This window comes from Homo sapiens, chromosome 18, assembly GCF_000001405.40.
Source record: "Homo sapiens chromosome 18, GRCh38.p14 Primary Assembly".
Taxonomy (NCBI): domain Eukaryota; kingdom Metazoa; phylum Chordata; class Mammalia; order Primates; family Hominidae; genus Homo; species Homo sapiens.
In genome coordinates this window covers 49,990,201-50,017,277 of record NC_000018.10, presented here as the reverse complement: position 1 = coordinate 50,017,277, position 27,077 = coordinate 49,990,201, and the positions used below count along the sequence as shown (strand labels likewise).

Here is a 27,077-nt window from a genome sequence, read left to right as displayed (position 1 = left end):
ACAGTAGTGGCACGTGCCTGTAATCCCAGCCACTCGGGAGGCTGAGGCGGGAGAATCACTTGAGCCCAGGAAGTGGAGGTTGCAGTGAGCTGAGATCATGCCGCTGCACTCCAGTCTGGGTGACAGAGTGAGACCCTGTCTCAAAAAAACAAAATGAAAAATTATGCTAAGGTAAATAAGTTAGTCACAAAAGACCACATATTCTATTCATTCCATTTATGTGAAATGTCCCAAAGAGGAAAATCTGTAGGTACAGAAAGTAGATTAATGTAAGGGATGGTAGGGTAGATTGGGGGAGTAGATTTAAGATAGGGGTAGAGATGGGGTGAAGGGGGTAGGGTTAAATTTGGGGTAGGGGTAGCTTTAGGGGTTAGTTAGGGATGGGGTAGCATAGGAAGAAGGACAGATTTGGTATAGGGGTAGACACAAGCTGGGGGTCGGGGGTTGGTTTAGGGCAAGGTCTGGGGATTGGTAGGCAATGAGAAGCAACTGGTAATGGGTGTGGGGTTTCTCTTGGGGGTGATGAAAATGTTCTATTGTGATGGTTGCACAACTCTGTAAGCACCTTTGAATTGTATATTTTAAATGGGTGAATTGTATGATATATGAATTACATCTCAGATGTCACCATAAATAAGGCAAAGTGACAGATTTGGAGAAGATATTTTAGAGAAGGTGGACAAGAAAAATGTCTCTTAGATGGTATCATTTTAGCCTAGATTGGATAAAGTGAGATTGTGACAGTTGGGACAAGGGCAGAGGTAGGTGTGAATAATACACATTGTAAAGAATCCTGTCCAAGAAGTTTGGTTTGTATTTCATAGATACACATTATGTTAAAGAATTCAGTTACTGCACATGCTAACCAATATGGAAATAAATCTACCTTTTTATTTTAAAAGGGGTTTCTCCAAATTAGATGCCAGCCTTTAAACTCTAAGTTTTATTAAATATAAAATGAATGCTTAAACCCTTAGGAATTGGGTTCACACAGGATTGGATCATGGGTTAATACATATTTTGGTGGAATTGAGAGTCAGGCACAGTAAGGCAAACAAAATAAAAAGAAAAAGAATGAGATTAATGAAACAGTTAATCAACTGGCCAGCAGATCCCTCAAGTTCTGGGTTGCATGGCACTCTGATCATGCTTTCCTGGGATCTGAAGGCCTTGCCTACTGTCTGATACCTCCCATCTTTGGCCCTTTCCCTGTGTCACTTCTCTACCAGTTGGGAATCTGTAAGATGGCTCTGCAAAATGTATCACCAAATTGTGATTGCTGAACAGGTTTTCGAGGTAGGCTTTCCAGCCTGGTCTTAGAGCCCATAGTGCTCAAGATGACCAGGACTGGAGGTGACTCTGGTTCCAGCAAGAATCTTAATATGTTCCAGATCAGCCCTTACCAAATATCCCATGGAGCACAATCACAGTGCTCATACCAGAGAGCTCCTAACAGGCAGGACGTGCTGCTTACAACAGGAGCTGTTTATTCAGCAGAGGCTACTGCAAGCACCTGGAGGAGGTGCTTGCTCACCTCGATGGCACAGAAGGTTGGGGCCTTGGAAGCTGTATTGGGATGAGATAATGTGGCGTGACTTCATGTGTCCCCAAAGAAGATAATTGTCAACTACCAGGAAGCCAGCTTCCCTTGCCCTGGGCACACCTGCTGCGCCAACAGAATATTTAACTTAAAACTGAAAATGCCTGTAGATTTTGACAGATGACACTAATGAAATACTAAAGAACACTTAAAAAATTTCACCTTTTGGGATTTTACAAATGTTAAGGGACTTCTTATAACTATTACTGAAAATAGTCAGATTTCAAGAAATAAAATTATTAAAGGAACACCCAGAATAGTTTAAGAAAAAATTTAAGCAAAACAAGCAAATTCTGATCCTGGAAATATTTGAAGATTGCTTTAATTACATTACCCAGCCAAAGGAGTGGTCAAATAAAACAGTTCCCCTACTCATGGGGAAAGCCATAGTTTAATTTTTGATCAAAAATGAAGTTCACTAGGTCAGAGGGGTTCATTTCCCTCCAATGCACAAGATAGTTAAGAACTTGTTTGTACCCAAAATTGTCCTCCCAGAGAAAAAGCCCACACATTTCTGTCTTTGTTTCAGCCCCCTGATCCCTGTCCCGTGAACCCACTGCAGAGGGAATTCCTATCTTTCAGCTTCCCTTCTGTCTGTACAAACTTCTAATTTTTGGTCAAGGTCAACCTTAGGGCTGTTAACATTTTGAAATCTAGCAAGACCCCCAATTCCAGGAGACTTCCCCCAGGGTCATCTTCTCTGAGCCCTCAGATTGTTGAGTCTATTTTGACACAGATGCTTCTCTTTGTCTTAGACGTGCTAGGCATGGTCCCTTACTTGAGCATCAGTCCCTCAAGGGAGCACTTTTCTTACACTTAGTTACACAGCTTAACATTTTACGCAAGGGAGCTGTGCGGTAAAAAATTGCCTAATGGATGGAACAGCTGAACCCCACCTTCATTCCCTTGGGGCCGAGATGTTTGTAGGTACTTGGGTAGAACAGACATCCTTCCCATCCTACAGGGAGAGAAAACACTCCATGTAAAATAGCAGCTGTCCCCTTTGGGCTCCTCATCCAGCCAGAATGGTACAGTGGGGACACTTAAAAAGCTCTGACAGATCTGTAAGGAGAGTCTGGGCTTCATTTACTGCAGGAGATAGGGCGGTAGGTGCCGCATTACAGTGAACTAATGTCACCAAATTGCAGGCTGTATCTCACCCAATCTGATGGCACCTTACACACCTCACCACAACCCATAATGAGAGAGTTAAGGGATCATTAATACTCTCTCTTACAAACGAGGAAACCAAGTTTTACAGAAATGAAATAACTTGCCTGAGGTGGAAATGCCCTTTCAAAGTCTTTTTAAAGAAGACCACTGCATTATCATTAATAAATAACACTGTATAGCTTCTGTTGTAAGTTAACCATACCCGTAGTTTTTTTTTTTTTTTTTTCCTTTCTCATCCATTTTCTCCATAATTTTGGGACTTTTTTTATGTAGACATTTGTGAAACAAAGTATTTACTACTTAATCAGTTTTTCTGCTACTGCTTCTCTTAACTGTGAGCCCTTTGGACCCCGGGTTTCTCTTCCTAACACTGCCCACCTCAATGTCATTTTTATGATACAACCTGGTTTTACTACTTTTTTAAGTAAAGAATTTGAAGGAAGAAGCTAGAGAAATTGACCACAATTGAGGGGGTCAAAGATTCCTGACTTGGAAGTAGAGCTCTGTGTCTTGGATTCTTGTCCATGGTGACTCAGCAAGCATACCCAGCGGCACCTGAGGCTGTAACCTGTGGGAAGTTCTCCCTGCCAGCCCCTCTGCTGGGCTAGGCAGTGGAGGGGGAAGGAGCAGCACTGGGTCCTGCCAGGGAAACCCAAGCTTTGGATAAATCTCTTTGGCTCTGTACTCTTACCGTCTCTGTGAAGCAAGTGAGTGTTTTCTGACCTGCCTCACGTTGTCAGAAGGGAAAACTGAGGTTTCGCATGTGATCTTGAAGTCGGGTAGAATGGATAATGATTGTGAGTTTTGGTCGTCTGTGTTACCTAAGTCTACTATTTTATTGCAAACTCTTGGCCACTTACATCTGTGCTGTATAAAAGGACACTCGAGAGAGGGCAGGGAGGTGAGTAATCCATTGGAATTACTACAAGCAAGATCTTGGGTTACTGTCTCACTGAGCCCAAGTTAGTGAGGGAATCTGTAATTCTCTCAAGAGGGCTGGCTGTTTTTGGCCTGAGGCTGCTATTGCAGAAGCTCAGTGCTTGACATAAGTGTCGTTTTCTCATCTATTGAAATGGTGTCATTTGTCATCTTAAAATCTCAGGGTGTAGGTGCAGTTGGGAGGGATGCCTCAGAAGCCTAAGGTGCTGTGTGGAGGCATGGAGTTGGCATACTCAGACCTGTAGGCCAGGATTTCCCAGATGTTACCACTCCAAGACTGGTGTGGCTGAAAAAAGTGGGTAGTATTCTTCAATTTTAGTTTTGTTAGAGATGTTTCTGAGGTCAGCAAGTTTTCCTGCCAGCCTAATGAATGATTGATTTGTTTTTCATTATTGGGTCTTTTCTGGCCCACTAAAGCGAGTCTGTCTTTCAAGGACTCAGATGTGTTTAGCAACCTTATGGATGTAATTCATTTGTATCCCAGGATCCACAGACTTTGGGACATTGTACTAAAGAGACTTATGAATAAAAGAGTACTTTAGATAAGTACAGCCAGCACTCACTGTGTGCTTGCTCTGAGTTCCACAGTTACATGAATTATCTGCTAAGCCGTGAGGTTGATTATGTCTTTGCTAGAATGCCTTCAGTCTGAAGCAGATTGTTTTCAAAGCAGCCTCTCCTGTGGTTGGACCCATGATGTGTTTGAAGGGTCCTTGCATGGGAGGAGGAAGGAATGCTAACCTTTGTCTACTTTGGGTTCTGAATTTACAGCATGGCTTTCAACAAACCATTCAGCTGCTGTGCAGTCAATGTCACCCAGGAGAAGAGAAGGTAGCAGCCACAGAAGGGGCACCCAGATGCTGAGCAATAGTTCCCTGGAAGGGGAAGCACTTTCTTTCTGGTGAATTTTCAGGGCAGGTTTTCTAGGATGGCCTTTGCATTGGGCCTGGGCGATAAACAGGATTTGCACCTGAATCTTAATGCTTGTGCATCTGTGTACCTCGGACATCCAAAGCTGACCAGTCTACATCATTATTTCAATTGTATGTCTGTCAACAATGTAAGTCCAGTTAATGAGGAAACTGTCTGTATTTCTAGGTGATTTATCATAAGCGAATAGCTAGAACTTGGAATTAATAAAGGTTTCTGTGGTCTTCAGCCAGGAAGAGCAGTTAATACATTCATAAATTAAAGGCTGTTTAGTTTTTTCAAGCTCATCTTTCAGTTCAGTGGTACATTGTATTAGGCTAATGTTGACCATGAACAAGTTACAAGGTATTTGAATTGCTGCCAGTTCCTGAACATGTTTATGTAGTGACCCATTTCTTAAGCTGAGTCTGTAGCAGTGCTTCTTAACCCTAGCAGAACTCATGTTCTAGTAGAATATTAGAAGCACTTGTGGAATTTTAAAAACAAATATCTGGGCCTCACCCCTCAGAGATTTTGATCTAATTGGTGTGGTGTGGGATCCAGCAGAAGTAGTTTCCTAAGCTCCACGAGCACTTCTTAATGTACAGCCAGGGTTGAAACCACTCTGTGGTGAGCAAATAATGGTTCTGCAGTCAGCGTTGCCTCTTCCCTGAACACTACCTATGCTGTCCCACTCTTTACACAGCCTGGCACCTCTGCTTGGAATGGTCTCTGGGAACAGCTCGTGCAGGGCCTGGAGTGTCAGAGGCCCTAACTATACCCACCGTACTACAGGGTCTGGTGCAAGGGTGCTAAGCAGGGCCTGGACACATTCAGATGAGTGTTTTGGAAATATGTTTCCAGCAGCAGTGAGGGGGAATGGATTGAGTAGGGCATAGAATTATCATGGGAAGACCAGTTCTGCTGTGGTAGCATCTAGGAGGGAAAGGAGGAGGAACAGGGCTTCGTGGGGTGGATTAGAAAAAAATTCAAAGCAATACAGCCAGCTTGGCCTCAAGCAGTAAAGGAGAGAAAGGTGTCACGGGCAGTTCCCAGATTCCCTGCTCATTGCTGAGCCATCCCTCGGGAAGGCAGGATGAGGAACAGATTGGTGGGGAGCTAAAGAGCACTGTTTTGGACGTGCAGGCCTTGGAGCGCCTGTGCACCTTCCGCGTGTAGTTGTCCAGTGGGCAGTTGAGCATATGTGTTTGGCTCTCAGAGGAAGTATCTGGGTTGGGGAAATACCAGTGTGGACAACTTGTGGGTAGCAGTTATAATCACAAAGGAAGAGGAGATCACCTCAGAGGCCACCTGGAGAAGTGAGGAACGATCTGTCGCCCAGGCTGGAGTGCAGTGGCACGATCTTGGCTCACTGCAACCTCCACCTCCCAGGCTCACACCATTCTCCCACCTCAGCCTCCCGAGTAGCTGGGACTACAGGCACCCGCCACCACGCCCGGCTAATTTTTGGTATTTTTAGTAGAGTCAGGGTTTCACCATGTTAGCCAGGATGGTCTCGATCTCCTGACCTCGTGATCTGCCTGCCTCGGCCTCCCAAAGTGCTGGGATTACAGACGTGAGCCACTGCACCCAGCCACCATGATGCCCTAAATTTTAAAAAATGTATGGATGAAGCAGTATCTATCAAAGGAAGAATACAAGACTTGTATCTTACTGGTGGCATGCCAAAGAGACAGTGTGGTATAGAGAAAGAGGATGGGTTTTGGAATGAGGGACTCACATGCACCTGGCTGAAATGCCAGCTGTACTACTGGCCAAGGAAAAATCATTTTATTTGAATATACTTGAATATACTCCCTTGCTGCAAAATAGTTTCCAAGAACAAGTGAAATAAGTGAGTTTGAAAAGTGATGTTTATTTGGTCTGACAGGCTACACATTCTATATGTGTATATCATAGTTCACCCCTAGCTAATGACAACATTAGAATAAGTCTGAAAAGCATAAAATCACAGGAAACACGTGCCTCTGTTGCTCACTTTCATCTAAACCTGCAGCTTTCTGAATTCCAGTGTATTTTGGACATTAGCAGTTCTATAAACTTCAGTTGATATAGAATGTATCATACAGCTCCCATATAACCTGGATCTGGAATCACAGAATATAGGAGTAGCAGGAGATCCTAGGGATAATCTTCCAGACCCTTATTTTAAGAGCAAGGGAATTGGCACCTTCCCATTTACACCGAGGAGTGCCCTAACCAGTGCTCTGTCTCCCTCTGTCTGGCCTGTCTGCCCACGATGGGGTGGGCTGGGTGGCACTCCCCGGGTTCTTTCTGTGATGGTATCTCATCTGAGATGGAGACAGCCCTGCTTGGGAATAGCCAGCAAGAGGAAGGGACAGATTCATTTCGCTGCTGCCTATATCACACTACACCTGAGAGGCTTATAAATAGCGCTTAGCACTCCAAGGGCCACTGTTTAACTGAAGTGGGAAAATGATATTGGATATTAAATGTACTAAGTACTTATCTCTTACACTATCAGAAGGTTCATTTTCATCTTACCAAGTAGGCACTTGGGACTCTACCTGCCAAATGCCAATTACACAGTTTCCAGTGAATATTCATGACAGCCTTCCTGAATGGCTTGGTTTCAGTTCTGGGCTGTGGCTGAGTGGTGCCCTGGCCTGGTAGGGAGGGTATGGTAGAGTAAAATGTCACCACCTGGTGGCAGACTGCATGAGGACATCCCTCTGCCATTTTCACCCCAGGAACCCAGGACCTGCTCAGTCCTTGGGCCTGGAGAACCCCTCACACAAGTGCCCTGCCTCCAGGTGCCTGAGACACATCTCCTTCCCACTTTCAGGCCTGGCTGTCTTGTTGGAAGGGTTTGTAGACTCTCTTGCTTGGAACATTCCGGCCCAGCCCCTTCTTGCAGCAGAAATGTTATTTATAGTGTTCCCAACTTTGGGAGGAAGCCCTTGAATGTTAGAATAATTGTAATTATATGGCTCTGTTTTGAGCCCAAATCTGACTTATGGTAGTTTTCCATATACCTTCTCACCTGACTTGACTGCTATCTTAACCTACCTCTGCTCCCCAACCTTACTTTTCTCTCCCCACATAACCTTTCGTTCCCCGAATCTGATTTTTCTTTCCACTGGAGTCTTCCTCCTATCTAACTTCCCTCACTATAATAGGTTTTTTATATTAATATAGTTTTGTGTGTTTGTATCTCTTAGTATTCTGTTGTTTCATTTCGCTTGTTTGAATTTATCATGAAAATATACCATATTGAGTTGTTGTTGTTGTTGTTGATTGAGACAGTCTTGCTCTATTGCCCAGGCTGGAGTGCAGTGGTGCAATCTCGGCTCACTGCAACCTCCGCCTCCCGGGCTCAAGCAGTTCTCCTGCCTCAGCCTCCCAAGTAGCTGGGATTACAAGCACCCACCACCACACCCAGCTAATTTTTGTATTTTTAGTAGAGATGGGGTTTCACCATGTTGGCCAGGCTGGTCTCAAACTCCTGACCTCAAGTGATCCACCTGCCTCAGCCTCCCAAGGTGCTGTGATTACAGACGTGAGCCACTGCGCTCGGCACATATATACTATTATCATTTTAAGTCACCATTGTTTCCAAGATTCATTGTCACTGTATTTTTCTACCCTGTCTTCCAAGTATTAATACTCTCCATGGTACTTATACAAGTATCTTTGTTGGACAGAAATTATTTTAAAATTCTATGTATTCTCTAGCATAGTCCTTCTTTTTAAAAACTATTGTCGGTGATCTGTGTTTTGGTGATGGTGTTGACTATATGATTAGAGCATGTAGACACAGACAAGAAGCAGTAGACTGATTATCCCATTAGTGAACAGAATATATTCTGTTGACACACCTAAATCTTCAGATGATTTGTCACAGAGGATGAAATGATATAGAGGGGCTTCATGACCGGTTTGGAGATGGGATGTCCTTTCTGTGGTGGCTTGGCAAGCCAGGCTTCCCCTTCTTCCTGTTTTGCAACCATAGTGTGTGTTGGGCCTAAGTGAGTGTTGTTCCCACCTCTTCATCCTCTCAGGGAGTTTCCAATTCAGGTAAATAGAGTTGTACCTGTCTGAGGCTCAACTCCCTCCCATTCCCCACACACACAAGTCAGTCCCCTTCCTGTGGGTGAATCATGGAAGGCTGAGCATAGGGCAGGGACGACAAAGTTTGCAGGCAGTAACTTGTACAACTCGAAGGGGGCTCCAGATGGTGTGCTCAGCCGGTACTGCTATACATAACAGCCCTTGCTGAGGACTTCCTCTTAAAATCCAGGTGCCAGACCACTCATCCAAGTCCTTGTATGTGAGATTGACCATCATAGGATTTAGGTTCTAGTGGGGAGACTAGGGTGGGAGGAACACTAAGTGGATGAGGAAAATGTTAGTACACTGTATAGTGAGTGCTATGAAGGTAGGATGGTTAAAGGTGGGTGGTGGGGGCCTTCTAGAGAAGTGATGTCAAGCCAGCCAGCACTGATGACCCCAATACATATTTAAACTTACACTGAGGCTAAGTTTATTATGGAGGGATTTGTTAAAGGCTGCTTTATTATACAGGAAGGAGTGTAATGGTAATACAGAGATACAGGAGTATAATGATAATGCATTATCCTGTATAATTCCACCAGCATAACCTGGTGGAAAATTGTGCAAGGAGATGGAAGCCTGAGTTTGAATCCGGGCTCAGTGTCTCACTAGCTAAGGAATTCTGGGTGCATCATTTGACCTTTCCAAACTTCTATTTTCTCTTATTTAAAATGGGAAGAATGACATCCAGTGATCTTATGAATCTTAAGCAAAGTCTATATACTAAGAGTCTCATAAACCATTTGAGCATGATGTAAATAAATGGTTAGTTAATTACATTAAACAGCAGTTATCGATGAGCTGCCATAAGGCAGGATGTGATTGAGTACCAGGCATTAAGAGCTGTGAGATCAAAGGGGATTATCAGTTTGAACTGGGACAGCTTCAGGCCACTGCAACGTGGGAGAGAATAAAGCAAGAACCTCTGTGTGGCTTGAACATATCCAGTAGAAGAGTGGCATGCACTGAAGCTGGAGAGAGGTGCTCGGTCCCCCAGGGCCTTGAACACAGTAGATGTGGGTGTTATTTAGAGGATAGAGGGATGCCATTGGAAGGCTTAAAGCAAGGGAGAAGAATGGTCCGATGTTCATTTTCAGAAAGTTTCATGAGAAGGACATGTTAGAGGAGGAGGAGAGTACAGGCTGGAAAGCTGCTATTGTAATGTATGCCAGAGATGATGATGGTGTGGACTAAAAGGTACAGAGAAGGAAACAGACTACACCCTGGAGAGAAGTTCAATAGGATGTGCTAATGTAGGGCCTGAGGGAAAGGGAGAAATCCCCAGTGCCTCTTAGGTTTCTTGCTGGAGTGAATGAGTAGATACTGGTGCCACTTACATAGAGGAGGTGCCAGGGATAGGCTTGGATGCCAGGAGCCCTGGGAATTCGAGGTGAAAGCACAGAGCCTGCCAACAGCGAGCCCTCATTTAGTGATGTGCGAACTGAGTGTGGGTGATAGAACCTGGTGTTTGAGGAGGGAGGATACCACGGGTGCCACCCAAGTCTGCAGCGGGACACTTGGCCTCACTGGTCACAGCCAAACTGGTTGCTGGGGAGTGAAGCCTCTGGAGCTTTCCTGGGGATGCTTTGTCATCTCTGAGATGCTTTGAGTAGTGCTGCCGTGTGGGTTCTGTGTACATATAGCTAGTTTGGAGACCACAGGTGACAAATTATGCTCCTCAGGAAACCCAAACAAGATAACACTTAGTGGGATTTCTCAAAACAGAGCTCCCTGGGTGCCTCCCTGGCTGATCAGCAGGCCTCTCCTTTGAGCAGAGTGACCTCAGGTGCCCTGCCAGCCACCTGCATCACTCTCTCTCCCGGTGGCACCACCCAGAAATGAGGAGGAAGGGCTTGATCTTGCTCATCAGCCTAAAGCACTGCAGTGGTTTGGTGGGAAACTTCTAGGAGGAGTTAGAGTAGTTTAGCAGAAGCTAAGTCCTGCCTCTCAGGTGTCACAGAAGGGGGGGCCAGTGTGAACTGGGGAGGTAGTGTGTGTGTGGATGTGTTGGTTGTCAGGTCTTTTGCCTGGAAGCTGCAGAATGGCTAAGTTCCTTACCTCAGGCTCCTGTACTCTTGTCTGAGTCCTTCAAGAGCCTTTTGCTGTTTGACTTTCTGAAGACCATGTGGACCCGAATCATGGCTGAGTACTAAATTCCTTGCCAATGGTTTACTCCCTCTACATGAAAGGAATTTCACTGGGCTCAGGAGAGGTGGCTTTATTGAAAAGCAGATTGATGCAAGTTGCCAGCCAAGTCATTGGGGTGAATGGATGAAGCCACACATTGGTTATATTTTTGAAGGACATTGGGTCAGATTCTGTACTTGTAAACATCTCCCCCTTAACGAGCCCTAAATAGCCACAGTTTGAAACTAAGCTTTTCCCTACCCCTACTTCCTGTTAGGATTTTAGTCAGAGGATCATCAAATGTCAAAGGTAGGCAGTATCACTTGGGAAGTCCAAGTCACAGCCTTTTACTTTAGAGATGAAAAGATGGAGGGCCAGAAAACAGAAGCAACCCAAAGTCACACGGCAGGTGAAATGACCTCACTGGGACTGACTTCAAAAGAAGGCGAAATATGACAAGGTCTTAAAAGGAGGACAAAGCAAGTAATGGGGGACTTTACAAGCTGGTGAAATAATTGCCTTCTAGGATGCCTGGGTGGAGAGTCAGGGCAGACTGTCCAGGCATTGGACATGGACAGGACTGCATAGAAGCATATATATTGAAGGTTACCTCAGGTAGAGGGAATACCAGAAACGGCAGTGGTGGGAAAGTGTGTGGTCATCAAAGACAAGTAGTCCTGTTGGGTTGAACCTTGATACCATCATCTTATAAGAAATATAGGCCAGGCAGTGGCTCATGCCTGTAATTCTAGCACTTTGGGAGGCCAGGGTGGGCAGATTGCTTGAGCTCAGGAGTTCAAGACCAGCCTGGGCAACAAGGCAAAACCCCATCTCTACAAAAAATAGAAAAATTAGCCAGATGTGGTGGCCTATGCCTATGCCTATAATACTAGCTACTTGGGAAGCTGTGGTTGGGGGATCGCCTGAGCCCAGGAGGTTGAGGCTGCAGTGAGCTGTGATTGTGCCACTGTACTCCAGCCTGGGTGACAGAGTGAGATCCTGTATCAAAAAACAAAAACATGTAGAGGTCATCTCACAATCTTGCAGCAAATATATAAGATGGGGAGGTATTCTCTATAATGTGGGTACGTGGCTTACCAAGAATTTGTTGGCAGCAGAACCAGGACTCAGGGCAGATCCTTTAGATTACAACCCCAGTGTCCTTTTCACAAAACCCCATACTTATCAAGGGTTTTAGCATTAGGAGTATGCATCGTGGAAGGGTTTACATGCTCAACTAAAAAGCTTAGACTTGATTTGATAAGCAATGAGTAGTTATTTAACTTTTTTGAGTGGGAAAAATACGATTAGGACTGTGCTTTAGCAATTTAATCTGGCTGGAGTATTAAAATGAATTAGAGACCTAGGTATCTTAATCATGGTGACTACTTAGAAGAGCTTGGGCTTCAGGGATCAGAGTTCTAACAGACTGAACTGAGATGATCTGAAGGTCAAATAAGTTAACTACTTTGTCCAAAGTCAGACAGCTAATCAGTGGTGCGGCCGAGGTTCAAATTCAAGTCTGTCTTTAATGTCCATTTCTGGGATTCCAGCTCCAGGAAAGTGGATATGTACACAGAACACAGTGGGAGAGCTGCTGCACGCTGCACTTTGTAGGCTGTTACAGAATAGTGTGTATATGCCTAATGTGCACCTACCCCACCTCTATTTTTTTTAAGAGTTGAGATCTTGCTCTGTTGCCCAGTGGTGTGATCAGAGCTTATCATAGCCTTTGGACTCATGGGCTCTCATGATCCTCCTGCCTCAGCCTCCTGAGTACCTGGGACTACAGGCACATGCCCAGCCCTACCCTAGGCTAGGGAGGGAAGTGCCTAGTATGTGCAAAAGAAGTGCAATAAAGCTAAGTAAAAATCATCAGTTTTTCCAGACATTTTACCTCTGAATTAGGGAAGCTGTTGAATGGTGCTTGTTGGTCTAAGAAGTGAATTTATCTGACTTTAGCCTACATATCAGCATCAGATCTAACATCCGTGAAGTTAGGCAGAATTAGCACTACTGGTGATTTCCAAGACTTGTTCCCCAAAAGAGCCTCAAGTGTAAAGATTTTTTAAACTTGTGGTTTTTTCTTTTTATAACTCTTGATAATTTCTTAGCCATGTATGTCCACTTTTATCAGAACACCAAAATTTGCCTTTTGCATCCTGCCAGTTTTACTGTTCCGTTGCCTTGATTCCTTCTTTTTGAATTCTTGACACTTGTCACGTGACCTAGCCCCCTTTTTGATTCCTGGCCACTTACCTCCTCAGAAGAGCCCACTTTTTCTCCACATCTTGTATGAGTTGCTCTCTTTCCTGAAAAGGGCATGACTTTCCAGTCACTCCCCAGTGATATGCAGGGGAATTCCCTTATTGATGCCGTAGGTGAACAGTGACAAGCATCGCTGGTGTGTGCCTCATCTGTCTTTGCCGAGTGTAACCTGTCAACTGGGTCTCCTTGTAGTCCAGCATCCTGTGTGTGCTGTGTTGACGCAGGAGCCTGGCAGCACTTACCCATCTCCCCTCCTCCACTGATGGGATTCATTTCCTCCTGACATCTGTGTGTTGCTTCCCCTGGATCCTTATTAAGTACTTGGGATAGTATATACTTCTGCATTCTAACTGGTTCTTTGATGAGGATCAAGGCTTAGATACATTCTAAACTTATCCATTTATCTGGGGCTGAACACACAAATTTGGGACATAACTCTATACTTTTGGGTGTCGCTGCTATAATCTAGTTCTCCTTATTGCAGATACCCAGGAAGTTTTAAAGATGGTATCAAACTTGTCTGTTTCAGAGGTACAACGCCAAACTTGTGATGTTCTTAGTTGCCTGGGATGGTTGTGCTCTGAGCAGTTCTCTAAGGACTTGATAATGAAGATATTAGGATTAGAGGTGACACCTGTCATTATCCTCTAGGTTTAGGGATATGTTATAAAATTAAATGAGAAGAGGCGATACAAACATCCCCAGGCTGCTTTAGAGGCTACCTTTCAATGTTGAGATTTCACAGCAGCAAGGAGAGAGAAGCAGATGCTCTGACTACAATGATGTCTTAGAACTACAAGGGATCTCAGAGAGACACTGGTAATTCTATCCCCCAAATACTGGGTAGGATTCAACATACATTTTCAAGTAGTTGGTTGTGTATCAAATTTGAAATATACATTTTTTTCGGTTTTGTCTTCTCAACAATGCCTACTAGCCACCCACATCCACTCAGGTCCATCCCCATTGCTAACCGTTTGTGTGAGCTGGGACACTTCTTGCTGACCTTGAAGAGCAGCTCATAGTGAAGGATTTTTTCATCTCAGCTACCTCATGACTCTGCCTTCGGCTCCCACCTCCAGCCTGCTTCTTTTCTGTCTAGGCCGTCTCTAATTGGACCATTCCCTTGTATCATCTCACCATGTTTCCAGCTGTTAGCCTTGATCAGAAGAGAGGCTGACATTCATTCCCCTGTGCTGATAAGCTATGGCCTACTCATGTTGACAGTTAGCAAGGCAGGGCAAACCCCTGTGGTGCTTCTCTGTTCTTTTCTAACCCACTCTGCCCTAGGAAGCAATGGGAGCTGGTGTAAAGAGGGCCAGGCTGGTGACAGGGGACCCAAGTTCTAAACCTGTCCTCATATGGAAAAGAAGGGAGTTAGATTAGTTGAGAGCTAAGTTGCTTCCAGTTTAGTGATATATATTGAGTTTGTACTTTGTGCCAGGCACAGTTACAGACACTGGGGAGTGAAAGCAGAGTGCCTGCCCTCTTGACAGTGGGTTTGTGAATGGGAGGTAGGTGGTGGAATACAGCACTTACAAACCGTTTCCCGAAACTGCGATCCAAACGTTTGTCCTCACTCCCTGCTTTGAACATCCATCTAATCTAACCCCCTTCTTTTCCAAATGAAGACAGGTTTAGAACCTGAGTCTCTTGGCACCAGCGTGGCCCTCCTTCCACCAGCTTCTATGGCTTGCTAGGGACATCCATGTTCCTTGGAGACCCACTGAGCTGTTCTTTCCGTTGCTTGTCTGTCTTCCTACTACGTGTTTTAAAGGGATAACTACAGAGGTGTTTCTATCTGATGTAGAGTATCTTCTTCCTGCCCTCTGTTCTGTCTGACTCAGATCCCACTTATTGAAATTGATAGTTTTATCAAAGTTCTGAGAAACTTGAGGCAAGATTATTTTGGTGGCTAATAGCATGCCCTTTGTGACCTACCTATATGAAAAAAAATGTTCAAAACTGTATCTGCTGGCATGCTAGGCTCAAATGCAGGAGGAGAAGAAAAGATCCATGTTTTTGAAGAAATTGTAATGTATACAGTGACACAAGATGGGAATGTTAGGGAAACAAAGGGGAGATGATATAACTGAAAGTGTGTGCTTGTGAATTTTTTTTTTTTTTTTTTGAGACGGAGTTTTGCTCTGTTGCCCACGCTGGAGTGCAGTGGCACGATCTCGGCTCACTGCAACCTCTGCCTCCTCGGTTCAAGCGATCCTTCTGCCTCAGCCTCCCAAGTAGCTGGGACTACAGGCGTGTGCCACCATACCCAGCTAATTTTTTTGTATTGTTTTTTAGTAGAGACAGGGTTTCACCATGTTAGCCAGGATGGCCTCGAACTCCTGACCTCATGACTCACCACCTCGGCCTCCCAGAGTGCTGGGATTACAGGCATGAGCCACCACGCCTGGTCTGTGTGTGCTTGTGAATTCTTAAAGGATGTGTGTAAGGGAGTGATCTAGGGGCACTGCACCCAGTGGGAACTCGGGAGAGTGGCCAGTTGTCTGCACCACTCTCGCTCTAGGCCATAAATGAAAGTATGTGCCCTGTTAGAATTGCTTTCTTCCTCCTGCTTTCAGGATGTTTGCAGGTGTCGGGGAGGGCAGACTATTTTTACACTGTTCCTCTGCGTTTATCCATTAAAGTAGGAGAGATGCTCCCAGTGAGGCTCAGGCCCTTGTCAGACAGAGTCCCTGGACGGTAGCAGAGCCTTTCCATGGCCAATGACTTATCAGAGCTTTTTTCCTTCCAGAGATGAGAAGAATCAGTCCATCATAGTCAGTGGGGAGTCTGGAGCCGGGAAGACGGTATCAGCCAAGTATGCCATGCGCTATTTCGCCACCGTTGGTGGCTCGGCCAGTGAAACCAACATCGAAGAGAAGGTGCTGGCATCCAGTCCCATCATGGAGGTAAAGCCTTCTAGGTGTCCTGGCCTTCCTGGCTGGAGCTCCTCCCACTGGCAGCAAGACTGCTGGGCGTCAAGCCTGGGTGGCAGCCTTCACGCCTCTCCCTGAGAGCCCTCTGTCCACTGTGGAGGAAAAGTTACCAAGCTGCCTCTAAAACCATGGATGTTGACCTGGTTGTGTCTTTAGGTTCCCAGTACTGGGTAGAGTGTCCTCATATTCTCCATGTCCCTTGACTCTGCTGAATGCTGTAGTGACAGTGACTGTCCCTCCCCACCTCCTCCACCTCTGTTGCTGTCCCCTTCCCTGCTGACATCACGTGTCAGAAATCAGTGTTCCACCGAAACTCTTAGAAGCTTTGAGGGCCTGCTGGGTCAGAAAGGCAATTTTCATGGGGGACGGGAAAGCCTAGATAGAATATTTTTTAACCCACAGTATTTGGGCATCTTATCTTTTTAGCGGGGAGGTAAAGCCAAAAGGTATGTGATAACCTAGAATCTGTTGAAGCTCCTCAGAAAACAGTTCCCTATGATGGCGTGAATTGGCCAGGGCAGGCCCCATCTGTGTCTTCACTCCTCAGCCTTCATGATAGGGGCTGGACTAGGGTGGGCTCAGAGCAGTTGACACAACTACAGGCCAGAGAAGTTTGCTAAAAACTAGATCTTGCTATAACTAAGCATGCTTTAGGATCAGAATGCTGTCTCTTTTTCCCCCTTTTCTGTATGAAACCTTCATTTTGATGGATTAGAATGAAATGGCCTCGTAGTCCCTGGGACAGCTTTCATTCCCCACCTTTGAAGCTAAAGCTCTTTGTTGTTGTCTTGGTTACAGTTGGTAGGAGCAGGCCTTTCTGCCAGCCCTGGGCAGTCCGTTTGTTTTATGTCATCTAGTCCATCTCTAATTGGACAGTTCCCTTCTATCATCACACCTACAATAGTAAGAAGACATTAGTTGAGCCGCAAGCTGCCAAGATAGCATCAGGTTTCCATGCGGAGCCCTGAGCCCCATCGACTAAGGCACAAGTCACCATGGAGTTTGGTCTTTCAGATGATTTTGGAGCTTAGGGAAACAAGAACCTGCCTGGACTTTCCCCAGTCCCCTCTTTCTCTCTTCCTTTACCAAGTGCAGGCATAAATTGAGTCTTGATTCACAGGGGTTCATTGATTATCCAGGCAAAATCTCCTGCCTTCAGAGTTGCGTTACTTTGAGGACTTTAATTCTCTGCTAAGTAACAGGATACAACGTGTTCACTATGAATTTTTGAAAAGCAAGTTTCAGTATTTGTTCTTACAAGATTTGGGAAATGGTGAATACAGTTGAAGGCATTTGTACTAAACAGACAAAAAGAAAAACTTTTATTCCATTACAGTGCTTCTCAAATTTGAGGGTGCCTGAGAATTGCCTGTAAGGCTTGTTAAAGCACAGATTGCTCTACTCCACTCCAGAGTTTCTCATTCAGAAGGGGTCTGGGAGGGGCCCCCCAAATTTGCATTTCTCGCAAGTTCCTAGGTGATGCTGGTGTTGCCCGTCTGGGTACCACACTTGGAGAACCACTGACCTATTAAAAAGATAGGATGGGCTCACTGGAAAATGTGAAAGAATGAAAGGAAATAATCCCCTTTAATACTACAGCCTGCTGATAATCATCCAACATTTTGGTATATTTTCTTCCAGCTTTTTTACTAACTATTACAGCATAAGCCTTGTCCCCATATCATTCAACTTTTTATGAACTATCTTATTGGCTGCAAACATAGATTAATAAATGGCTTTACCATAATTTGACTCCTTCTTTTCTGACATTTCATTGGTAGCATATTTACTCCAGCATTTAGTCTGAGCCCCGAACTGAGGCATGGCCACGGCCCAGGTCGGAAGCCGTTTGTGGACTGTGGCCTTGGCCTCCTTAGACCATGTACTATGCCTATATTGAACAGCTAAGACAGCCGCTCCACAATTAACCTCATGTTCTACCTCAAATGAGAGTGAAAGCAGGCTCTCTCCTTTGACTGAGTTTCAAGATTCTGTCCATCTTTTAGGCAGTAAGATATCAGAGACATAGTGTACTACTTCTTTTAGAAATAGAGTAGTTATTCTGAGCAAAACGAAAGACAAGAAACCTCTTTGAGCTCCAGAGACTGAACAAAGTAGTTATTATTAGTCATGCTGGAAGTTTAGTGAAGGCAGATCACCACATTAGTAAACATGTGTGAGACATGGGGAAATTTTTTACAATTTTATCATAAAATACACATAGCATAAAGTTTACCATTTTAACCATTTTAAGTGTACAGTTTAGTGGCATTTGGTACATTCACGATGTTTGTACATCCATCACTGCCATCTATTTCCAGAATTTTTTCATCATCCCAAACAGAAATTATTTACCCATTAAACAGTAACTCTCCATTCTCCCTTCCTCCAGCCCCTGGTAATCTCTCTGAATTTGCCTATTCTAGGTACCCCCACACAAGTGGAATCATATACTAGTCCTTTTGTGTCTGGCTTATTTCACTGAGCATAATGTTGTCAAAGTTCAATCATGTTTTGGCATATATTAATATTTTGCTCCTTTTCATGATTGAACAGTATTTCATTGCATGGTCATACCACATTTTGTTTATTCTTCTACCTTTTGGGTATTGTGCATAGTGCTGCTGTGAATGTGGGTGTGAAAGTATCTGTTTGAATTCTTGCTTTGGAAATGCTTTTTAAATCACAGTGGTCTGACCTTATCTAACATTTGGAATATCCATTATAGCCTGAGTAGGCCGCTAGGCTGTGGGAACGCAGGGTGCTTTGACATGGCAGAGATGAAAAGCAACATGCACACACAGACATATGCTCAACGTGCTTCAGTTGCTAAGGTCTGAAGGAGGAGTGTGTACATGAACCAGCTTAATCTTACATGGTCATGTAAATAAATGCTACAGTGGTTTGAGCTCAAAACATTAATTTTCTGCCTTGTGCAAATTAGTACTTTGGAAATTATGTAAGTCCTGAGGGTTTCTTCTGTCAAATGGAGCATTTTGTCATCCCAGAGACTGTCCCTTGAGCTGTCATTAAGTGTTATGTTTGAGAGAAGTCTTGGCTATGAACATGGAAAGGAAGAATTATAGCCAGGAAGAACCCTGAGTAGAATTAGAAAGAGGCTTTTGTTGCCAAGCAGAGAAAGAGGCTTTTGCACTTCCCAAGTCTGAAAACACGACTTTTCGTAAGTCGACTCTATCTGGGACCTTGTATCAGGAAGCCCAGTCAGTTTTGTGGCTGCTCAGAGTGTTATAACCAGCACAGAGCATGTCTTAATCAGGGGACAGACAGCTGATTACTGATTGATTGCTCTGCCCCATCCTAGGGAAGGATGGCACCTCCCAACAAAGCAATCGGTTATGGTCACGGCGTTGTCTCATTGCGTCTGCTGCCCAGCAGCTGCAGACACCTCCTGGGGAGACCTAGAGTTGAAGGTCTGAGGAGGCGGAAATCCCAGTGGTCTATGCTAAGTGGCAGTTGTTGGAATTAAAGGCGACTTGAGGATGGATTGAGATTGGCTGGGGTGCACTGGGATGATTTATTGTCATCACCAGCACTCTCTGACCCTGTTCTGTTTAAGAGCTTGTCAGCATCCCAGGAGTGATTTGTTCACAAGTCTGCACTGATTAAAAGAACATTGATAATCAAGAGACTGTTAGAGGAGGAACAGAACCCAAGTTTAGGCCAGAGATATCACATCATTTCTTGGGGTGACTGGACTTTGCAGGCAGACAACTCTGAGAGCCACAGAGAATGCCCCTATTCTGGGAGAAAGAAAGGAGACGAGATCATGCCATTGCACTCCAGCCTGGGCAACAAGAGGGAAACTCCATCTCAAAAAAAAAAAAAAAAAAAAAAAAAGAAAGAAAGGAGGCTAGAGTGAAGCTAGCAAAAATGATGATGAAGACCAGATATGTTATTTTCAGGATTTGCTTTTTTTTTTTTTTTTTTTTTTTTTTTTTTAAAGACAGGACCTTGCTTTGTCACCCAGGCGGAAGTGCAATGGCATGAACACGATCACTGCAGTCTCTTCCTCCTGGGCTCCAGCGATTCTCCTACCTCAGCCTTCAGAGTAGCTGGGACTACTAGACGTGCACCACCATGACCAGCTACCTTTTGTATTTTTCAGTAGAGACAGGGTCTTGCCACATTGCCCAGGCTAGTCTCAAACTCCTGGGCTCAAGTGATCCACCCACCTAGGCCTTTCTAAGTGCTGGCTTACCAGTGCCTGGCTAAGTGTTCACGCTTTTTAGGGCAAAGAAGAAAGCCAGACACTGTTAACCCATTTTTACAAGAATCTGCTCCCAGTACACCTTACCAATCTTATCTCCTGTTTTCTTTCATGTATCAACATACTTTAGCCACTTCAAACTTGTTTATTTTGTAACATAACCCCGTCCCTTTGTCCACACTATATTTATAGAATCTCTTCTTCTTTCCCACTGTCAGAATTCTGCTCACTTTAAGATCCACTTCAATTTTCCACTTCTTAGAGCTTTTCCCATACTGGGGCATGGTTGGTTTTGCTCCTTATCCGTGTTTTCATACTACTTGATACATACCTCTTTATTGTACAATCAATTACATTGAAATTATTTCAGTCCATTTTTATTTCACCGTGTATTTCTGTATGCATCGAAAAGATTGTTATACCATAAGTAGTTGGTAGCATATTCCATCAACCAGTTTGCAACTTTTCACTCTACATTTTTTTATTAATCCATGAGCTGTGTTCTAGTTTATTCTTTTAACAGCTTTATAGCATCTGATTGTGTGGATATACCACATTTTATTTATGTTTTCCCTACTGGTGAACATCTGGGTTGTATTTCTTTTTTATTATTAAATATAGTCTGAATGGAACATTCTTGCCTACTTGAATTATGTGAGAATTTCTCTAAGTAACACCTAGAAGTAGAATTGCTGATTTGTTAGGTGCATGCATGTTCAGTTTTACTAGATATACCCGATTTTCCTTCAGAATGGTTGTTCCAGTACTTTTAGATCTATCAATCACTTTGCAAAGTAGCCTAGTAAAGTAAGGAGGGCCAATCTTTTGGCAGTGATCTTTAGACCTTGGGCAAAGTTTTCCTAAGCTATCACAAGGAATGATCTCAGATATGGTAAAAGGTCTTATTGCTATCTTAGAAAGTAAGAAATTGGAAATTAAAAGTTTGAAATTGAAACTTATCTGTTGAAACGAGCTTCTCCTTTAGAATTTTCCACCAACTGGCCTTTGCTGATTACATCTGTATGACATTGTTTAACATGTGCCTTTGTCCACTTTATTTCCTGTAAAGGAATAGTAAAATTTAGAGGCTGCTTTAGTTTCTGTTTTGTTTTGTTTTTAACAGGAATCCTTAAGATGTGGTAGTTGGGCCTCCATTAGGAGGCACAGAAAATCTGGCTTTTTGTGATGTGAGCCAGCAGTTGATTATGCCTAGATATATTAATTAATCAGCAGTTACAAAATGCTGATATTGTCATTCTGTTACACCTCCTGCATGTATTAGCTGGAATAAATCTGTGCAGAGAAACGTCCCCTTACCAACTACTTAATTGCCCTGAGATACAGTTTACACTGGAAAGTAGATGTTTAAGGCTTTATTTACTAGGTTTCATAGTAATTAGTTGGTTTTCTAGCATCTTCTGAGAGGCTTCTCCCTGCTTTTACATAAAAAGATATAAGTGAGGATGTAATCCCAGCACTTTGGGAGCCCGAGATGGGTGGGTCACGAGGTCAGGAGATCGAGACCATCCTGGCTAACACGGTGAAACCCTGTCTCTACAAAAAAAAATACAAAAAAAATTATCCAGGCCTGGTGGTGGGCGCCTGTAGTTCCAGCTACTTGGGAGGCTGAGGCAGGAGAATGGCGTGAACCTGGGAGACAGAGCTTGCAGTGAGCCGAGATCACACCATTGCACTCTAGCCTGGGAGACTGAGCGAGACTCCATCTCAAAAAAAAAAAAAAAGGATATAAGTGAGGATTAATATCTATCTTTATCCTTTGACTTGATTTGGCCATTTGAGCCATGAGAAGTTGCCCACATGTGTGGTGGCTTTCTGTCTGGTAGTGAGTGGTTTGGAGGAGACAGAGTATGGAGGAGTGCTGTGACGCCGTGTAGGTAGAATGAACGCAGACTTTGGATTCAGGTATATCTGAATTTCTATCTTGGGGTTGCCACTTCCTAGCATGTGACCTCAAGCACGTGACTTGACCTTTCTAAGCCTAAGTTTTCCCGTAAGTATGGTGAAAGTTAGTAATGCCTATCTTGTAGGGTTCTTGGCAGCATTAAATGAGATTATAAGGGGCCCAGCCCAGGACCTGGCTTATGTTGAAGGTCCGGGAAATGCTTTCTACCAACATTTTAGGAAATATAGCCTCCTTTTCCATTTTTCAAGTAGAAATTGGCTCACTGAAGTCTGGCAGTCTGCCATCATCCTGTGGGGCCTTAAAGGCTGAGACTCTTTGTGGAAGGAAAGTGGTTACACTGAGGCCTCTGCTAAGATGACAAGGTTGGTGGGTGCCAGGAGCGTGAGTCCCCATCGCCTTTGGTTGGAGGAAGCTGATTACGTAAACTCTTCCAGTTAGGTGACTGAGAGTTACATCAGGCTGGCCGGGCTCTAGCCTTGTCCTGACCTTGGGCATGTTCCAAGCACCAAGATGCCCTTCAGAGCAATCCAACATACCAAGGTTGTACTTTCTCCCCCTACACTTCCTTCCAGAGTTATATACTGTGTCTGTAACATATAGATTGCTTTATACACTTTAAACCCTAAAGTAAAAGTGTATATTGTGACTCCAACTGGTTTTTGCAAGACTTTGCAGTGGCAAGTTACGTATGAGGACAAGGAGTCCAATACTTACATTTCACAAGAGAAAAACTGAAACCCAGGTTCATTTACTCTTTCACTTAAATATTTTTGAGTGCTTACCATGTACTGGGTGCTACAGAGTCTGTGCTGAAGCAGATGTATAATCTTTGCCCTCATGAACACAGAGGGTTAACCGCATATGGGCTAAGGGGAAGAAGAGGGAAATGTAGGGCCTGGAAGAGCATATGGCAGGAGGTGCTCCCCTAGTCTCGGGATCAGGGAAGGCTTGCTTGCCTGAAGAAGCGACATCGATGCTGAGACCTGAAGGAAGATGAGTCGACTAGGTGCAGAGAGCCGTGGGAAAAGAGGGAACTGCCTATGGGAAGCTTGGGTGAGGGCAGAGAGAGCATAGGGCTTTGGAGAAAGAAAAAGGGAGTTAGGATTGTTAGAAGCCGGGACCAAGGGCAAGATTAGAGGCAGGGAAGGGTCGGTTCCTGCCAAGCACATAAGCCATGCTAAGGATTTGAAAGTTGTATCTCAGAGGGCAGTGTAAGCCACTGAAGCGTTTTATACAGGGAGTATAATAGGTTTACATTCTAGAGGAATCACCCTGGCAATTGAGTGGAGAATTGACAGCAGGTGGAAGATGGGAGTGGGACCAGGGAGACCATTGAGAGCCCATTGAAGTTGTTCAGGAAAGAGGTGACAATGTTGCAGGCTAAGGCTATGGCAGTAGGATAGAAATAGGGACAGTTTGACCCGTTTGGAACTTGGCATCCTCTATACTCGGAGGGTGGTGAATGGAGGCCAGTCCTGGGCTCAGCAGCTTCCCTGGTGCAGAGCTGGACCTAGATTTCTGTGAGTGGGTGGTTGTATAACTCAGCGCCTCCCTGTACTCATCTCAGTAACAGGAACAGTTGTTCAGTAACAACTCAATGGCATGTTTTCAGGAGCATTAGTTTTAGGTCAACTTTGTGACCTTTTGCTTCTCACTATTCTGCCAGCCTTGTCAATAATAGATGGCTGCCGGGCATCGTGGTTTTGGGATGTCAGGCGACACTAATAGTTCTTCTGCTTGTATTGGGCTGGGCAGGACTTGAGGGGTAGGTTGGGATTTTGGCTTTTCTTTCAACTTCTTTGTGCCTCAAATTTTCTAGACCATTGAGAAGTTATAGCAGGTGTTTTTCAAGTGTTTTATCCACCTAAAAATGTAAGCATGTGAAAGGGATTAAATATTAATGTATTCTTTACCAATGCATTGGCAACATGGTGTTTTATAGGAAGCAAATCTTCACACGATAAAATTAGTCCCATATCCACTCATTTTAAAAATTATCGTCTAGTGTTTTGAACTGTAACCCTGATGCTGCAGAAGAAATACCAAGAGGGATGATGGCTTCCTGAGGTGGGAAGGAGTGTCAATTTGTGGCGTATTGCTAGGAAGGTATTATTTGTCAGTTGGGAGTGACATTTGACTGCCTGCTCATGTAGAACTGATCAAAGTGTATTAAGTACAGGAAGGTTTGTTTGTTTTTTTCCAGAAAGTTCAGAGCTAGTGGGCACTGGTATTGTTTTAGTGGCTCAAGAATGTCACAGCTAAGGTCTCTGTGATTCTTTAGGCCTTTTCCTCATGGTTCCAAGATAACTGCTATAGCTGGTACCATCACAGGTGCATTCCAGGCAAGAAAGAAGGAAGAAGAGGGACAGTGGGATGCACCTTCCATTGCACCTGGGTAGTCCCCTTTGAAGACCCCACCAATGAACTCGTTACTCTCATTGGCCATCCTCAGGAGTAAGAGGCTGGAAAAAGAAGAGTTTCAAGTTTTTGTTTTATTCTTTAGCTCAGTTCATTGTCATCCCAAGAACAGAGGGTTTCTGTAAGTAAGGAAGAGAAAGGGGACACATGCTGCCACAAACATACAATCCTGAAATCAAGAAAGCCCTCTTTTTTTTTCATACCTTTGTCTGTCTGGTCTGTGCAGGCCATTGGAAATGCCAAGACCACCCGCAATGACAACAGCAGCCGTTTTGGCAAGTACATCCAGATTGGCTTTGACAAAAGGTACCACATCATCGGGGCCAACATGAGGACTTACCTCTTGGAGAAGTCCAGAGTGGTCTTCCAGGTGAGTGGGAGGATTTGCGCCCTTTTGTGTATTTCTCATGGACAATTACCTTACTTCTGCTCCCTGCCCCACTCCCTGGACCCAAAGAGAATCTCTCTTGTGAGCCTGGAATTGAATGTAGTTGTTCTTTTGGTTCTTATCTTTTATCAGTAAGTGTTCATTCAGATGGTATAGGGATTAGATCTCAAAAACCTTTATACAGTACTGTTTTCAGATTCAATCAACAAACGTTGAATGCCTCTTATGTGTTAGCTCTGTCCTAGGCACCAAAGATACAGTAAAGGACAAGACAGAACTTTTCCTTATGGATTTTAAAGTCTTATCAGGGGAATGTCATAAATACGGAGTCTGGGTTTTAGGTTTCCTGAGAACTTCCTTATTTAGTAGGTTTAAAAAATAGATTATACTTGGCTACCTACTTAGTTTTCTTTTCAAATAAGTGGATGTCCCATTTTTTAAAAAAAATTATACTTTAAGTTCTGGGATACATGTACAGAACGTGCAGGTTTGTTACATAGGTATACACATGCCATGGTGGTTTGCTGCACCCATCACCTCATCATCTACATTAGGTATTTCTCCTAATGCTATCCCTCCCCTAGCCTTCCACCCACTGACAGGCCCCGGTGTTTGATGTTCCCCTCCCTGTGTCCATGTGTTCTCATTGTTCAATTCCCAGATGTCCCACTTTTCACCTGACTTGATTCTTCACTGTTCTTCGCTTACCTTTAGTTTCCTCCTGCCAGCTACTCTTTGCCTCTTTGTAATCCTTCTCCTCCTCCATCCTGACTTTAGTGGGCTTGGTGCAACTCACAACGCCGATAGAAGTCCTCCTCCAGCTCCCTTTACCCTCCCATCACTGAACCAAGATGATGGTTCAGGTCCTGGTTTGAGTCTGTGGCAGATTCTTGCCTTGGGTTAAATGGCTTCCTGGTCATTGAGCTTTAGCTGCCTTTAAGGAGACCTCAGAATTGCCTCAGCTGTTTGTTTCTTGGTGACATCTCCATGCTGATGATAGCAAACATCTAATGAATTTTTTAACCAGCTCCCCATGCTTTTGCCTGCATTTTATATGCACCTCACAGGTTGGCTTGATAATCCCCCCATCCTGCTTTACACCACAGCCAGGGAAGCAGCTTGCTGGGTTGGGTGTGGGTCTGATGTCTTGCTCATGGCTCTTTCCTGGACACCCCTGGAGCTTCCCTCTTCCTTAGCTCTCTTCGCTCAGGCCTCCTGAATCCCCACCCCCACACCCACCCCACCGGTGTAAGGCCAGTCCAGCTGCAGGTGTTCCCCAGACATCCTGCCTCACTTGTGGGCCTTTCCTGTCTGCCCAGCCTGACCTGATGGGCAAGCACAGCTTCCACTTATCTCTGAGCCTCCCAGAGGAGAACGGGAGCTCACAGAAGGGTACTGACAATCCATGGGACATCAGCCAAGCAGCACAGAAGACTGAATAAGTATTTGTTGATTGACTGACTCACCATTTGTGAAGAGCAATGATGTCCTATATAGAAGGAAAAAAGAAAATACATACATGCTTTTGCATAATTCAAGACATATAAATCCTCAGGTTGGAAGAAGTCCCCATAAGAGTGAATAGAAAGTCGGAAAGTGGGAATTGAAGGTGGCAGAGGTGTGGAGGAAAACACTGGGAAGAGTGGGGGGCTCAGCCTCCACCACCTGGAGCACCCTGGGATTACAGTGGCAGAGGGAACGATGTTAGAGGTCACTGCCCTAAAACTGCTTCACTTCTTCCTCCTCCAGGCAGATGATGAGAGGAATTACCACATCTTTTACCAGCTCTGTGCTGCTGCCGGTCTTCCAGAATTTAAAGAGCTTGCACTAAGTAAGTCAACAGGTGCATGCCTATCCTCTGGGGTGGGCTACTGCTCCAGCGGGTGCACAGCTGGGGGCTCTGCTCAAAGCCCTCCGTCATGGGTTCTTGTCTCGGCTCTGCCTCTTATGTGGCCATAACCCCTAGGCCTCTCTAAATTTCACTGCTCAATTAGTAAAAGAGGGTTAATTGTATGCAGTCCACCTGGCACAGGAAGTGTATGAGAGGATAAGAGGCAGGGGTGGAAAAG

The 27,077-nt window shown here is 44.5% G+C and overlaps 1 protein-coding gene across 1 annotated transcript in view; it reads left to right on the top strand.

The window, feature by feature from the left end:
- The window catches only part of MYO5B (myosin VB), a 372,359-nt gene that overhangs the window by 177,870 nt on the left and 167,412 nt on the right, over window positions 1–27,077 (top strand). Inside the window, exons 5-7 of the mRNA NM_001080467.3 lie at window positions 15,867–16,023; window positions 24,847–24,990; window positions 26,758–26,839. Of these exons, the coding sequence (NP_001073936.1) occupies window positions 15,867–16,023; window positions 24,847–24,990; window positions 26,758–26,839 (383 nt within the window). The remainder of the gene's footprint in view (window positions 1–15,866; window positions 16,024–24,846; window positions 24,991–26,757; window positions 26,840–27,077) is intronic.